Below are 13,950 nucleotides of genomic sequence, written 5' to 3' on the forward strand. Positions count from 1 at the left end.
TGATGCCTTTTTCAGGGTTCTACATTCAAAGCCTGTTAAAGATGGTTACAGGCAAGGAGGAGTCACAGGCAGAGGCTAAAGTATATCTATCATCTTTTAACCCTAATGCACATTTTAGAAAGTCTCAAAAATCTGTTGCTGTGATTTTTACATCTTGTGTTTTTTGAGACAGAGTCTCGCTCTGTCACCCAGGCTGGAGTGCAGTGGCACGATCTTGGCTCACTGCAACAACTTCCACTTCCTGGGTTCAAGTGATTCTCCTGCCTCAGCCTCCTGAGTAGCTGCGACTACAGGTGCATGCCACCATGCCTGGCTAATTTTTGTATTTTTAGTAGAGACGGGGTTTCACCATGTTGGCCTGGCTGGTCCTGAACTCTTGACCTCAGGTGATCCACCCACCTTGGCCTTGGCCTCCCAAAATGCTGGGATTACAGGTGTGAGCCACTGTGCCCAGCCCTATTTTAAAACTGAATTTCTTCAAGCATCTAAATCAGAGGCTGGCAGAAACTTTTTCTGTTAAGGCCCAGATAGTAAATAGCTGTTTACTTTTTATGGGCCATATGATCTCTGTTGCAACGCCTCAGCTTTGTCATTGTAGCAGGAAAGCAGCCACAGACAGTAAGCAAATGAATGAGCCTAGTCATGCCAATAAAACTTTATTTACAAAAAAAGGCAGTGGGCTGGACTTGGTTCAGGAGCCAGCTGTAGTTTGCCAACCCCAGGCCTAAAGAAAGCTGGAGAGGAATAGCTTACACCCAGAAAAGAACCTCTCAGTGAGGGAAACAGACTAAGAATAGTATCACACTACAGCCTTCTACCAACAGATGATACTTTACTTTAAAATACAAAACAAAATTAGCTCAGCCAGTTAGTTGTTTTATTTTGAGTTTTGTTTTTTTAAAAAAAGAAAAGCTTTGAGAAAATGTGTTAAATATCAGTAAAGGGCAGGAACACACATGGCTAGCTTTACAATAGCAATCTAAACATACACAAAGGCAAACATTGAGTAAAATGCTAGGGAAAGACGGCACTTTGGGGGCCTACTGCAGTTTTCCTTATTGCACATAAAGGTTGTGGATAACGCCAAGTCTTTAATTTTTCACAGTTATACTTTAATGTCATTTTATATAACGTTTATTTATATAACATACTATAATGTTAATTTTATAAAACCACCAGTTTGCTACTGTTGAATGGAAATAGAAGACAAAATTCTCCCCAATTACACTATGTAAGCTCTCTATAAAAAGTTCCCTAGAAGGTCACATCATTCCATGTTAAATTCGTCCTATTCTATTTTAAAAGTTGCTTTTCAGCTATTAAATGAATCTTTATGGCCTTCTCATTTAACCATTTTCATGGACATAGTACAACTTTCCAAGTAAAAAGTACCAGATGTATTTTATGTGAAAAACAAAAGGACAACTTAGGAGGAGCTGGCCCTACTATGAAGTCACACTTTGAACGATCAATTTCAGTGGTAAATTCCCAATCCATAGACTTAACACCCACACAACTGAAAATCATCCCTCTGCTTCTCCAAAGCCCACAATTGGAATAATCACAACACAAGTCAGCCCCTAAATGTCCATGCAGTTAAGTCATCCAGTAACACCTGAATTGTAGCCTTTTTTAAGTGCTTGAGACAGCAGATGTTGAGGTTTCCATGCTGTTTACAAGTCCTTTTCTATCTGAGTTCCTCCAACATATACAGGCCCAGACAATTTTCCACTGGCCAAGAGCTGACTGTGACACTTGGTGATTCTGTTAAGCCTTTTGAAAGGTGGTCATCAGAAGGAGAAGGTGACTTCTGCTGTGTGCGCTCCTGTCTGCTTTGGACCTTTTCAAAGGGCAGCACAGCAGGCAGCCCTTCCTTCTCATCTTCTCCAAGGCTCAGGTAGCAGAAAACCGGCTGCCTGTGTGTTCCATATGGGCCACGACTATAGTATACCCTGCTTACAAAAATAAGACTAACATCAAAAACTTTGGTTTTGCTCTTTACAATTTTTGCTAGCACTGGGTGACAAGATGTGTTTAATTTTTTAAAAATGTCTATGAAAATTGACACTGGAAAAAACTGTTTATCTCTAGGTCTTGTTTTGAAAGGATTGTTGATGAGTCTACTTGCTTTTCCTAGTTAAGACACTAGCAATGGTTTCTACAGTATTTCTCTATATGTTGTTTTCAGGTTTTAGAAAGGGGGATGATCTTTTCAGGTATCAAAGTGGTAAAAGCAGTATTCAGATGGGTTGTTTCTAAACTACAACTCTTGGCCACTAGATTCCTTTGACTTACTGTATCAGAATGTAGCAGCCGACACTGGCAATCCAGAGTGTCAGTTAAAGAACAACAGAATAGCTCAGAACTCAATGATACCAGTCTAATGTATATGAAAGACTTGTTCCTGAACTAATTAATCTATAGAATCAACATCAAAAGGCAGACAAGAAACTTGTCAAGTTCCCCACTTTTGAAGTGGAATAAGAAGTCATATACTTGTGAGATCAGCAGGCTGACTTTCTAGCAGCCCTCATTGCAGATAATCTTTCACAACAGATGGTAAAATCAGCTTTCTGATACACTCTTAGAACTCACAACGGGTGCACAGTAGGTTTCCAAGTGGGTGATTTTCACCTCTGATGAGATGCTCTAACACCCTGCCACTGTTTTTCCCCCTAAGTGCATCAGTGGTGTTTCTACATTTGGAAATTACTTGTTCACATTAAACATCTGGTATGATTACATTAACTTCTACTGCAGACAAGGACAGGGAGAGATAGGATGATGGGATGACGTCAAACAGACCAACAGACCTCTATTTTGGAAGGAACTGTTAGTTCTTTGTCCTAGACCGAATCGTTCATGGATAGCTGAGATACCCTTTTGCATGTTTTCTAAAGAGATTCCATTTGTCAGCCAAACCACAGAGGACATTTTCGGGTCTAGAGAACACAGCCTGAAGAGATCCTTGCTGTTTGCTTGATGAAACATTTGATGTCGCAGTGTGATTTCTGCCTTCCAGGCATCAATGCTTATTTGTCTGATCACCCCAGTAACCACCCTGGATGCTCGGATCCATATGCCCTTCCTGTGATTGTGTCCTAGGAAGAAATGTGGCCTTATTTAAATTCCAAATTTTCTTCCCTAGGAGAGAAAGTTCAGGTTTCTGGTAGTTCTCAAAAAGTGTACTAAAAGGAATAGCAGCTTTCATCTTCTCTCTGTCAGGGCTATACAAAAGTGTGCATCTCCTTAATTACCTGCTACGGAAACCACCACCATCACCATGTGATAGCAAAGGACCACAACCTTCTACTTTGCTCCAGCAGTAAATGGGCCCACCCTTATTCTGAGGAATCCAGTGTGGACTCAGGCATGAGGATAGGTGAAGGAAAAGAAAATCTGACTCCAGAGGGGACTATTAATTTAATTCCAGGTGAAATTAAAAAAAAAAAACAAAACAGCTTCCCAGAAACCTTCATGCTTGATTAGTTAGCAGCTCAGTTAAGACAATACCTTCCCTTTATTCCCCACAAGTGGGAACCAAGATGACAGGTTTTTAGTTCTCCCCATACATACCCCAAGTCACCCTTCTCTTTCCTCGAAGGCTCCAAGGTTTTCGTGATCTTTTCAGCTGTACTTTATGGAGTATGTTCTTGAGTTCTGCAAAGATTAGCATCAAACTCTCTCACAGCTGCCCTGTCTGTATTACTGATCAATACTCAGTTCGTTTCACATGACTAACAATTTAAAAAAACACCTTCATCTGCTGGGCCATTCTTTAAAATCAGATTCCAAATAGTCTAGAGGTCTGCTGCGAGCTCTAGACTAAAGGCTCTTGTCAATCCTGGCTGCACATCAAGAACACTCCTGAGGTTCCAAACAAAGCATGGATTCCAGGTCCCACCTGAAGCTACTGAATCTGAATCTCTGAGGGGAGGGCCCTTGCACTGATTTAAAAACAAAAACTGGCCAGATGATCCTAATTCACAGCCAGGGTTGAGAACCTCTGCTCTAGAACATCGGACTCGGCTGAACTGTCGTCCCCACCAACCCAGAACAAATACGTGTATAAGATGGACTTGGGTTTACTCTCTTGGAAGAACTTTGTTTATTTGGATGTACCATTACTTAGCAGTTTCAATCTGATCTTATGCCAGACTGGCAGCAGATAGTTGGCCTTGTGTTGAATGATGCCTGACATGGCATAGGCAAAATTCTTCTAGATGTGGAACCACTTGACGAATGGATTCACATTCCCAGGACCCCTGGTAAGGTCAGGGTTATTCTCCACATCTTACAAACAAAAATTAGGACCAAAGGTCAAAAATTAGGACCAAAGTGCCTTACTTTGATTCACCAAATATTTGTAATCAAATAAGGACTTAGAACACTGGAAAGCAGTTCTGATTCCAAATGGCTGACAGCTCGGGGTTAGTGACAAAGGCAAGAAAGGGAGACCAGCCTGCATTTCCAGCTTCCTAACACACAAAGAAAGGCCGGGGTAGGGTTACTGGGCAAATGCTGCAACTAGATTCTGGGCCCTCTCTTCCCTGGGTAGGACTTCTGGGTGGGCCTCCTGCCCTATACAAACCATCCCCAACCCACCTTGTTTACATTGGAACTACACTGTCGTAGACAGCAATTCAGGGAAGAGGACAAGCCATAATTAGGATTTCCTCCCTGTTTCCCCTGTCATCTCCACACAGGAAAACCCTGATGGGAAGCCCACCCCTCTAGTTTTGGTCTTGGCAATCTACATTTCCTTGTATGTGAGTAGATCAGAATCAAATGTTTGCAGTGAAGACTACAAGACCCTTTGGGGATAAACACAACACTCTATGAATTGAACTAAGACTAGGAAGGGAAACTGGGTGGTTATTTTTCTTCCCTAAGAGAGTCATTTCTTGTAATCTTGTAAAAGCTTTCTAAAAAAAACTCAAAATAATGGCCAGGGGCGGTGGCTCACGCCTGTAATCCCAGCACTTTGGGAGGCAGAGGCGGGTGGATCACGAGGTCAGCAGATCGAGACCATCCTGCCCAACATGGTGAAACTCTGTCTCTACTAAAAATATAAAAAAATTAGCTGGGTGTGGTGGCATGTGCCTGTAATCCCAGCTACTCGGGAGGCTGAGGTAGGAGAATCGCTTGAACCCAGGAGGTGGAGATTGCAGTGAGCCGAGGTCATGCCACTGCACTCCAGCCTGGGGGATAGAGCGAGACTCCATCTAAAAACAAAACAAAACAAAACAAAAAACAAACAACAACAACACAACAACAAAGCCTTGAGGTGAACAAAGAACCATCACCAGGGTGTGTCTGTTAGTTTTTTCCCTCCAAAATTAAGTAAGCAATATAAGATAAGCAAAGCTTTATAAAGACCCAACCAAAGACCCAAGCAGCCTATCTCTCCATCTCTGCAAAACAAAAACAAAAATGAAAACAAAACAAGTCTTGCCTTTTAGATTTATATGGCATGACTGGTCATTACTAAGATAACTCTGCTAAATAAAAAATCCTGTGCTGGTTCTGGACTCCAGCACACATATAATACAGGCCTCTGCCAGGCCTGGTAGCTGCTGTCTGCAACCTCACCCCAGGATATAAGAACTTCCCTTCCAGGGGCTATGAAAGCTCTTTCTCTGGCTGTGGGGTGTAGGTCTTATTCTTAAGTCCTTCACTAGCCTAGTTGACCCTGAGGGCTCATGGGTTTGGATAGGTTGTTTAGCATTTTTCAAACTTCCAAAGCCCATGGATGACCATAAAATCAAAATGGACTTTATTGTAGATAAAAAGGAAAGAGGAGAATAAAAATCATTCAACTGTATTTTTTTTTTTTTTTTGAGGCAGGGTCTCATTCTGTTGCCCAGACTGGATTGCAGTGGCATGATCTCAGCTCATCGCAACCTCTGCCTCTTGGGCTCAAGCAATCCTCCCACCTCAGCCTCCCAAGTAGCTAGAACTACAGGCATGTGCCATCATGCCTGGCTCATTTTTGTATTTCTGTAGAGACAGGGTTTTGCCATGTTGCCCAGTCTGGTCTTGAACTCCTGAGCTCAAGTGATCCTCCTGCCTCAGCCTCCCAAAGTGTTGGGATTACAGGCATAAGCCACTGTGCCCGGTCTCAATTTTATTTTATTGAACCATATGAAATTGCCACTCCTGTTTTTACAAAATGGTCGAATATCAGCAAACTCATATGGCTCAACCTAATTAAATACGTATTTTCCTGATTTGCACAAATTATCAATTCAAACACAAAGTTGTGAAGCAATGTCTTATTTAAAAATTAAGCATTAAACATGCGAATTGAGAAGATTAAATGACTGATTTCACTACGGGTGGACTAGACTGGGACACAATATTTTGTCTTCCATCATAAGAAAAACTGGCCAGTATGGTGAAACCCCGTCTCTACTAAAAAATACAAAAAATTAGCCAGGCGTGGTGGCGCGTGCCTGTAATCCCAGCTACTCAGGAGGCGGAGGCAAGAGAATCGCTTGAACCCGGGAGGCGGAGGTTGCAGTAAGCCGAGATCGCGCCACTGCACTCCAGCCTGGGTGACACAGCGAGACTCCATCTCAAAAAAAAAAAAAAAAAGGAAAGAAAGAAAAAAAGAAAAGCCCACGTTATTGAAAGCATTTTTTAGAAATTGGGTTGCCAAAAATAAGCTAGCACTGAAGCACAGAGACATTAAGAGAAACTCAAACTTTTCCCGAGAGGTCTTTCTGTATTTCAGCACTACAGGTGTGGGCAGACAGAACAGCTCATCCAGAAAGAATCCAAACTGAAAACCTAACTTTCAAATCACACCCACATGTTAAGCTGGTGCAGCAGCCTCCCCAGATACAAGGAAAATGACCCTTCTCTGCATGGCACTCAGTGGTGTAAAGACACTCGGACTCTTAAGCTTATAGAAGACAGAGCTTTCTAGTGGGCTGAAAATACTTAATGTTCCATTGTTTGCCCTCTGATTCCTCAGGTGGCCACTGAAATCTCATGCATTCGTCGGCTCAAAGTTTGGAATTCTACCTAGTCTTGAGACTACTATCTTGTATTTCTTTGCAGTAATTTTTTTGCATTGAGATTTCTTTCCCTCTGAATTCTAGCCTGGTGCCTTGTAGGTTTCTTGCTGCCTTCCCTTTCCCAGATAATAGCATCCTACAAAATTTGGTGTTATTTCTAAACCCAGAGTAGATACTTCAGTCCTAGTGATTATTTCCCTAGGCTGTCAGCTCATATGGTAGCCCTCAAAAGTTGAATGCTGGCCAGGTGCAGTGGCTCACACCTGTAATCCCAGCACTTTGGGAGGCCAAGGGAGGTGGATCACGAGGTCAGGAGTTTGACACCAGCCTGGGCAACATGGTGAAACCCCATCTCTACCAAAAATACAAAAAATTAGCTGGGCATGGTGGTGGGCACCTGTAATCCCAGCTAATCAGGAGGCTGAGGCAGGAGAATCACTTGAACCCGTGAGGCAGAGGTTGCAGTGAGCCAAGACCACGCCACTGCACTCCAGCCTGGGTGACAGAGTGAAACACCATCTCAACAAAAAAAAAAAGTTGAATGCTTTTTGCAGTGATACCATCATCAGTTTCTAAATACCTCCTTTCCTCAGATTAATCAAAAAATAAGAGTATAACACTATTTGCCTTTGGTTTTAAACATTTCATAACTACTTCTTTATGGATATAGCCAGAGAAGGAACTATAATTCTTCGTTCCATGTTGAAATGTTCGTGGATGTATTTTCAAATCTTCAGTCTAGAAAAAACACAGGCAGCATAAAGTCAGGAATCCTGATATGAGGTTGCAGTCAAGCAGACTTCGTTGCCAGAGCCTCCAAATTGCTTTTTCATGTTTTCTGTCCCATTTAACACCAAGTTTCCCATAATCCTTGGAGTTCCGATCTCAATTGCCTTCCTTCTCTTTAACTTGATAATTCTATGGTCAGCTTGACTTGCACTGCTGTGTACTGAGATGCAGCCTCTCATGGGAGGAATCCCCCCACCCAGCACCTGCCTCGCCTTGTTCAGATACTGCAGGTGAATGAATTAGGAGACCATTAAAGCATGCTATTTTTTTTTGTTTGTTTAACTCTGAAACAGCGCACTACTATGTGAAAAAAGTGGGAATAGGTCTACGTTTGTCTGAATTTAGAGACACTTTTGCCTCACCATCTGCATTGTGAGTTAAATTTTAAGTGTTACAATAGCTTCAGACCCCAATAAAATAGAAGAGTTAGTTCAATCTAGTCACTGCCCCACCTCCAACAACACTAGGGCTTGCAGCTGTCCTCACCCCATCGGGAGCCTACCCCATCGCGCCAGGGCTTGGGGGGAAAGTCAAGCATTATCTTCCAGGGGAAACACTAGGCGGGTGCCCCGGCTCGAAACCTTCTGGTCTCCCATTCCCAGGTCTCGCTCCAGCACTTCCTCCGAGCTGCTCTTCGTTCTCCGGCTGCCCTCCAGACTCGTGGAGGCGGTGTGCGAACTTGAGGAGCCATTTGCAGTCACTGTGCTGTCCCCGTAGGTCAATGTCAGGTCGCCTTCGGTCAGGATGAAATCAGAGTCTTCCTCTCTCAGTGGCTCTTGGTTCTGAAAAGTGCAACCAACAACAACAACAAAAATGAGAGACTGATATCTTCCAGGTTTGGCACCAACCCCAATCCCAATCCCAACTCCTCATCTGAAAACTGGGGACTATGAAACTTGCCTGCCTTGAGCCTCTAGCGTGGTAACTGGATGTAAACTGTAGAGGGCCGGGCACGGTTGCCAGGACTAGGACTTAGAATACTAGAAAACAGTTTCTAATTTCAATGTCTGACAGCTTGGGGTTAGTGAAAAAGGGAAGAAAGGGAGACCAGCCTGGATTTCCAGCTTCCCAATCAACACACAAAGCAAGGCCAGAGTAGGGTAATTGGGCAAACGTTGCAAATAGGTTTCAGGTACTGTCTTCTCTGGGTAGGCATTCCGGGTGGGTCTCCTGCCCTATACAAACCGTCTCCAACCCGTCTTGTTTACATTGGAACTACTCTTTGTCATAGACAGCAATTCAGGGAAGAGGACAAGCCATAATCAGGATTTCCTCCCTGTTTCCCCTGTCATCTCCCCACAGGAAAACCCTGATAGGAAGCCCACCCGCCACATCCTCAGGTGGATGAATCAAATGATCGAGGGAGAGCAAAGTTGCAACCACTTGAACTATCAGATGGTAGCGAGAGTGTCGGAGACGGCACGAGGTCAGACAGGACCTTCTTCCTCCAATAGATTTAACCAACAAAACAAGGGGAGGGCCACAACCCAGCTCCCGCGCTGCACTGAGGCCTATTGAGTACTGTGCACTGCCTTCTAGAAGGGCAAACACAGTGTCAAATACGCTGGGTAAACTGATTTTTTCTCTCCTGTTTCCCACCGACCCTTCAAAGCTCATCTGAAGTCCTGCATCCTCTTATGAGACAGAGCCTCCAGGGCGCCGAACTGGCCTCTCTGACCCCCTCAGGGCCCCCGCGCAGTCACACTGCCCAAGGCCATGGGCAGATTCCCCGAGATCAGCCCCATCTAGATGACAAACGCCAAAGGGCAGTGACCTCCTTCTCCACACCTTGGCACCTTCCTCAATGGTGCTTACCTCACAGTAGGTGCTAAGTGAATGCCAGGTAAATGCACCAGCTAGGGAAGACTCATGGGTTGCGTTTCCTCTCCCAGACTTATTTCTGTGCACTCACTGGCAACAATCACATACTTGTTTTCTGCATTCTCAGTGTTGTCAACTTCCCTACACACAGTCTACACTGTGACTCCACTTAACTAATGCTTCAGCATTTTTGACAGGCAAGCACGCAACTCCTCTCACTTGCTGCTTCAAATCCTCACTGGAATGAAGCAGGGTGCAAATGCCCAATGAGATAAAAGTCCTATATTCAGGCAGATGCTCAGAGCACAGTTCTAAAACTTGATTTAAACTCCCAAATTTCCTCCTCTTTACCAGTGTTTAGAAAGTCCCGAAACTCAATCTGCTTTACAGTAGCCTTCTTTCTTTTTCTTTTTATTTTTTGAGATGGAGTTTCACTCTTGCCACCCAGGCTGGAGTGCAATGGTGCAATCTTGGCTCTCTGCAACCTCCACCTCCCAGGTTCAAGCAATTCTCCTGCCTCAGCCTCCTGAGTAGCTGTGATTACAGGTGCCCACCATCATGCCCAGCTAATTTTTGTATTTTTAGTAGAGATGGAATTTCACCACGTTGGTCAGGCTAGTCTCAAACTCCTGACCTCAGGTGATCCTCCCACCTCAGCCTCCCAAAGTGCTGGCATTACAGGCGTGAGTCACCACACCCAGCCGGTAGCTTATGTCTCCCATCCGAATTTCCAACTCCTGGGGAGTTCACCTTCCCTGTCTCGGCACATCCCAATTCTCCCATTCATACACGTGCTACATAATGATTTTGTTCATCTCTGTCAAAATCTCTCTGCCAGGGCTCTTGGCTCCCAGTTTTCAGGGAAATGGTCCTGGCACATATTTTACTGCTTCAAGGTTTGGAGCCATGGAAGGACAGAGGCAAACACAGGATAACTGCAGGTGAGGGTAATTCCGCAAATGAAGGAAAGCCCACCACAGCACCACAGAGGAAACCCTGGGCATGAACTGTGATGTGGTCCGCTTTCACTCTTTGCAGAGGGAAGCAGGGCCTAAATTCACTGACAGGAGAAAACAAGACTGGATGTCAACCCATTGCATTTCTGAAACTCCCAAGCCCAGACATAGTACTCAAGGAAAGGTCATTCAGAAACAAGGCCATAGTAAAACCCACGGAGGCTGGGTGCGGTGGCTCACGCCTGTAATCCCAGCACTTTGGGAGGCCAAGGAGGGTGGATCACGAGGTCAGGGGTTCGAGACCAGCCTGGCCAACGTGGTGAAACCCCATCTCTATTAAAAATACAAAAATTAGCCGGGTGGTGGTGGTGGGCACCTGTAATCCCAGCTACTCAGGAGGCTGAGGCAGGAGAATTGCTTGAATTGGGGAGGCAGAGGTTGCAGCAAGCCAAGATTGCACCACTGCACTCCCACCTGGGTGACAGAGCAAGACTCTGTCTCAAAAAACAAAACAAAACAAAAGAAAACAAAAAAAAACCCATGGAGAGGCCAGGCATGGTGGCTCACATCTGTAATCCCAGTACTTTGGGAAGCCGAGGCGAGCGGATCACTTGAGGTCAGGAATTCGAGACCAGCCTGCTCAACATGGTGAAACCATGTCTCTACAAAAAATACAAAAATTAGCCAGGCATAGTGGCACGCAGCTGTAATCCCAGCTACTCGGGAGGCTGAGGCACGAGAATCGCTTGAACCCGGGAGGCAGAGGTTGCAGTGGGTCAAGATGATACCATTGCACTGCAGCCTGGGCAAGAGAGCGAGACTGTCTCAAAAAACAAACAACCCATGGAGAGTGATTCTGACATCAAAGTCTAATAATGTTACATGCAGATGATAAAACTAACCTGCTCCCTTGAATTCTAGATGATAGGATCAACACAAGTTTGTTTTGTTACGCTGAAGGTCTATATAATCATGTAACTAGCTGTGCAATTAAGTCTGCTATGAAAATGCAGTGAAAACACCTGCAAACAACAGTGTGTGGGGATGTGTGCATTTTAAATAACCAGAAGTCATTTTCAAAAGTGAAAGAACATTGTTAGGAAGCTGGATACCACACCTAAGTGGTTTAACGTTAGTGGAAATAATGACTGATGAACATCTTAGAAATCTCCAAATAAACTTGGCAAAGTAGAAAACACCTTTTAGATGGTGGGTAAGAACCATGCAACAGGTGTCAAAATCTACGAGAACTGCCCAGTCTGAGACCCTCACCAGGCACTAAACTTTGCAGTGAGCCCCTTCACCTCTGTCAGTTTTGGGTTCCTCCACTGATAATTTTGAAGAGACCCTTTGCTCCCACTGTCTCAGCAGCAGGCCCCACCATGTCTGGAGCTGGCTGAGACCCTAGGCAGGACCCCGGCTCAAAGCAGCAGCAGCAGCAGGACCGAGGGTGATTCTCACTAGAAGCCCAAGTCACTCAGTCTTAGGTTGGCTGTGGGGAGTCACAGCTGAAACATGACCCCCAGAAGCAAACTTGGAGTGGTCCCTTGAACTGCTGGGAGAAGCACTTGAAATTGATGCAATTGTAAGCTTACTGAGTTTATGCTGAGTTCAAACTAGTCCAGATATTCCTAATCTATGAGCAAGGGACTGGTTAGTAAGCTTCAGATTAGATAAGGTTTTTATAAAGTTTTAATAGTGGATTTGTTGTTTTACTATTACATAGACATGAAAAGTGATCCTTATTAAAACCCAATTAAGATGGAAAGTTTTACAAAGTGTTTAGAAGAGACTAGAGTTAGAAGACAAATTTATATATATAAACCCAGTGAAACTTAAGATCAGAAAGTGTAATCACAGTTGGGGCTTCATTAGTGGGAGAAGTGGAAATGCCGTCAGCACCCTTTGTCTCCGATGATGTATGTAAAGGGCCCCTACTACCACTTTAGACAGCGGGCCAAACTGAGCAAACCATTCAGCATTCAGCACAAGACAGCTTTTCTTAAGTAAGCTAGTAGCAGGATGAGAAATTACAAAACTAAGTTTTTAATCTATTGGTTTGTGTCCTTCTAACCTAACAGGTAACTAGCATTATTATTTAGGCTGATAGATATTACATTTAAAACTTACCGCAAGCATTAGACATCACTTTACAAACTGGGAGCAGTTCTACAGAAATGGTGTTCTCACCATCCTACATATTTTTTTGTCATTTAAAACCAGTTTATCACAGGTGGCACAGGAATTTCATTTTTATATGGGGAGGAGCCGTGGGTGTTGGAAGTTCAACTATCTTTAAGAGAAAGACACATGAACGCTACTGCCACATTTGGTGAAATTTCCAAGCAACGGCTGTGGCAGAACTACATTTTTACCAGGCAGAACCTGCTGTGAAGGGGGTGAAACCCAGTAGCCCAGCTGAGTTTCCCAGTGTAAAGTTCTGTCGCTGCCTACCAGGACTTTTCAATGGTCACCTTCCTCTGAGGGGGCCAAGGAGAGGTCCGAGGGCCTAGGGATGACAGACACACAGAGCTCTCTGCAGCAGCGGGTTTAGGACACATGGTGACTTGGCAGTTGTCATCCCTGTTCTTGAAGGAAGAGCGTGCCATTTAAGGAGCTGCATCCTCCAATCTCGGCTGCTCTGATGTGGCTGCCCTTCTCTTCCGCCCCAGCGCCCCCACCTAGCTATGGTGTCCACATCCCTTTCCCCTCTATACCACATGAATGTGCACTGCCTTTCCTAACCCTGCTACCCCTCGTTAGAACTTACCTGTTTAGGGCCGTTCTCTTTCAGATCTAGGCTTTGTGTTCTGCCTTCTCATCACCAATCAAGTAAACTGCAGGTTATTTGCTAAGAATGTGAAGACCTGCATGAGGGTCCCAGCTAATTACTAACTGTGGGCCCGGGGCCAACTCACATCCTCTCTGAGATGCACTTTCCTTCTCTGTAATGCTGCAGTACTCACTGATTCATGGTATGACCCAACGAATGAACTTAGCCTTTGTGAACTCTAGAGCTGTACGCAAATTTTAGAAATTCTTTTCTTCTAGGGCATAATGACTGTGTTAGTGACAAGATGATTAGGATGGCCGAAGAGGGATGAAGGAAGGCCTCTGACCTCTCCTCTACTCCTTCCACGTGGGTAGCTACCTTGCTCTCTCTACCTCTCTGCCCTGTACCCTGCAACCCACACCAGGAGTGCAGGAGTCAGCCCTAAATCTAAGACGTCCACCAGTGTACATGTTCTTTTCATACTGTGCTGAGTCTATTTCTATAATCTGAAAATGGAAAGAAAGGACCTAACCATATCAACATAAATAAACTATTTAGAAAAGGAATCCTTGCATGCTTTGTGGTTCAG

General features: G+C 44.4%; 1 protein-coding gene across 10 annotated transcripts in view; it reads right to left on the reverse strand.

Moving 5' to 3' along the window:
• Window positions 641-13,950, reverse strand: part of SLC9A7 (solute carrier family 9 member A7) — a 159,868-nt gene continuing 146,558 nt past the window's right edge. For 2 of the 10 annotated variants that reach the window (NM_032591.3, NM_001257291.2), the window contains exon 17: window positions 641-8,593. In NM_032591.3, coding sequence (NP_115980.1) covers window positions 8,342-8,593 — 252 coding nt within the window. In that variant the 3' untranslated portion in view covers window positions 641-8,341. The remainder of the gene's footprint in view (window positions 8,594-13,950) is intronic. The other 8 variants (XR_007068203.1, XM_017029905.2, XM_005272682.5 and 5 more) reach the window with 8 other exon arrangements.

The sequence above is a fragment of the Homo sapiens genome, chromosome X (genome assembly GCF_000001405.40).
Source record: "Homo sapiens chromosome X, GRCh38.p14 Primary Assembly".
NCBI classification, from domain to species: domain Eukaryota; kingdom Metazoa; phylum Chordata; class Mammalia; order Primates; family Hominidae; genus Homo; species Homo sapiens.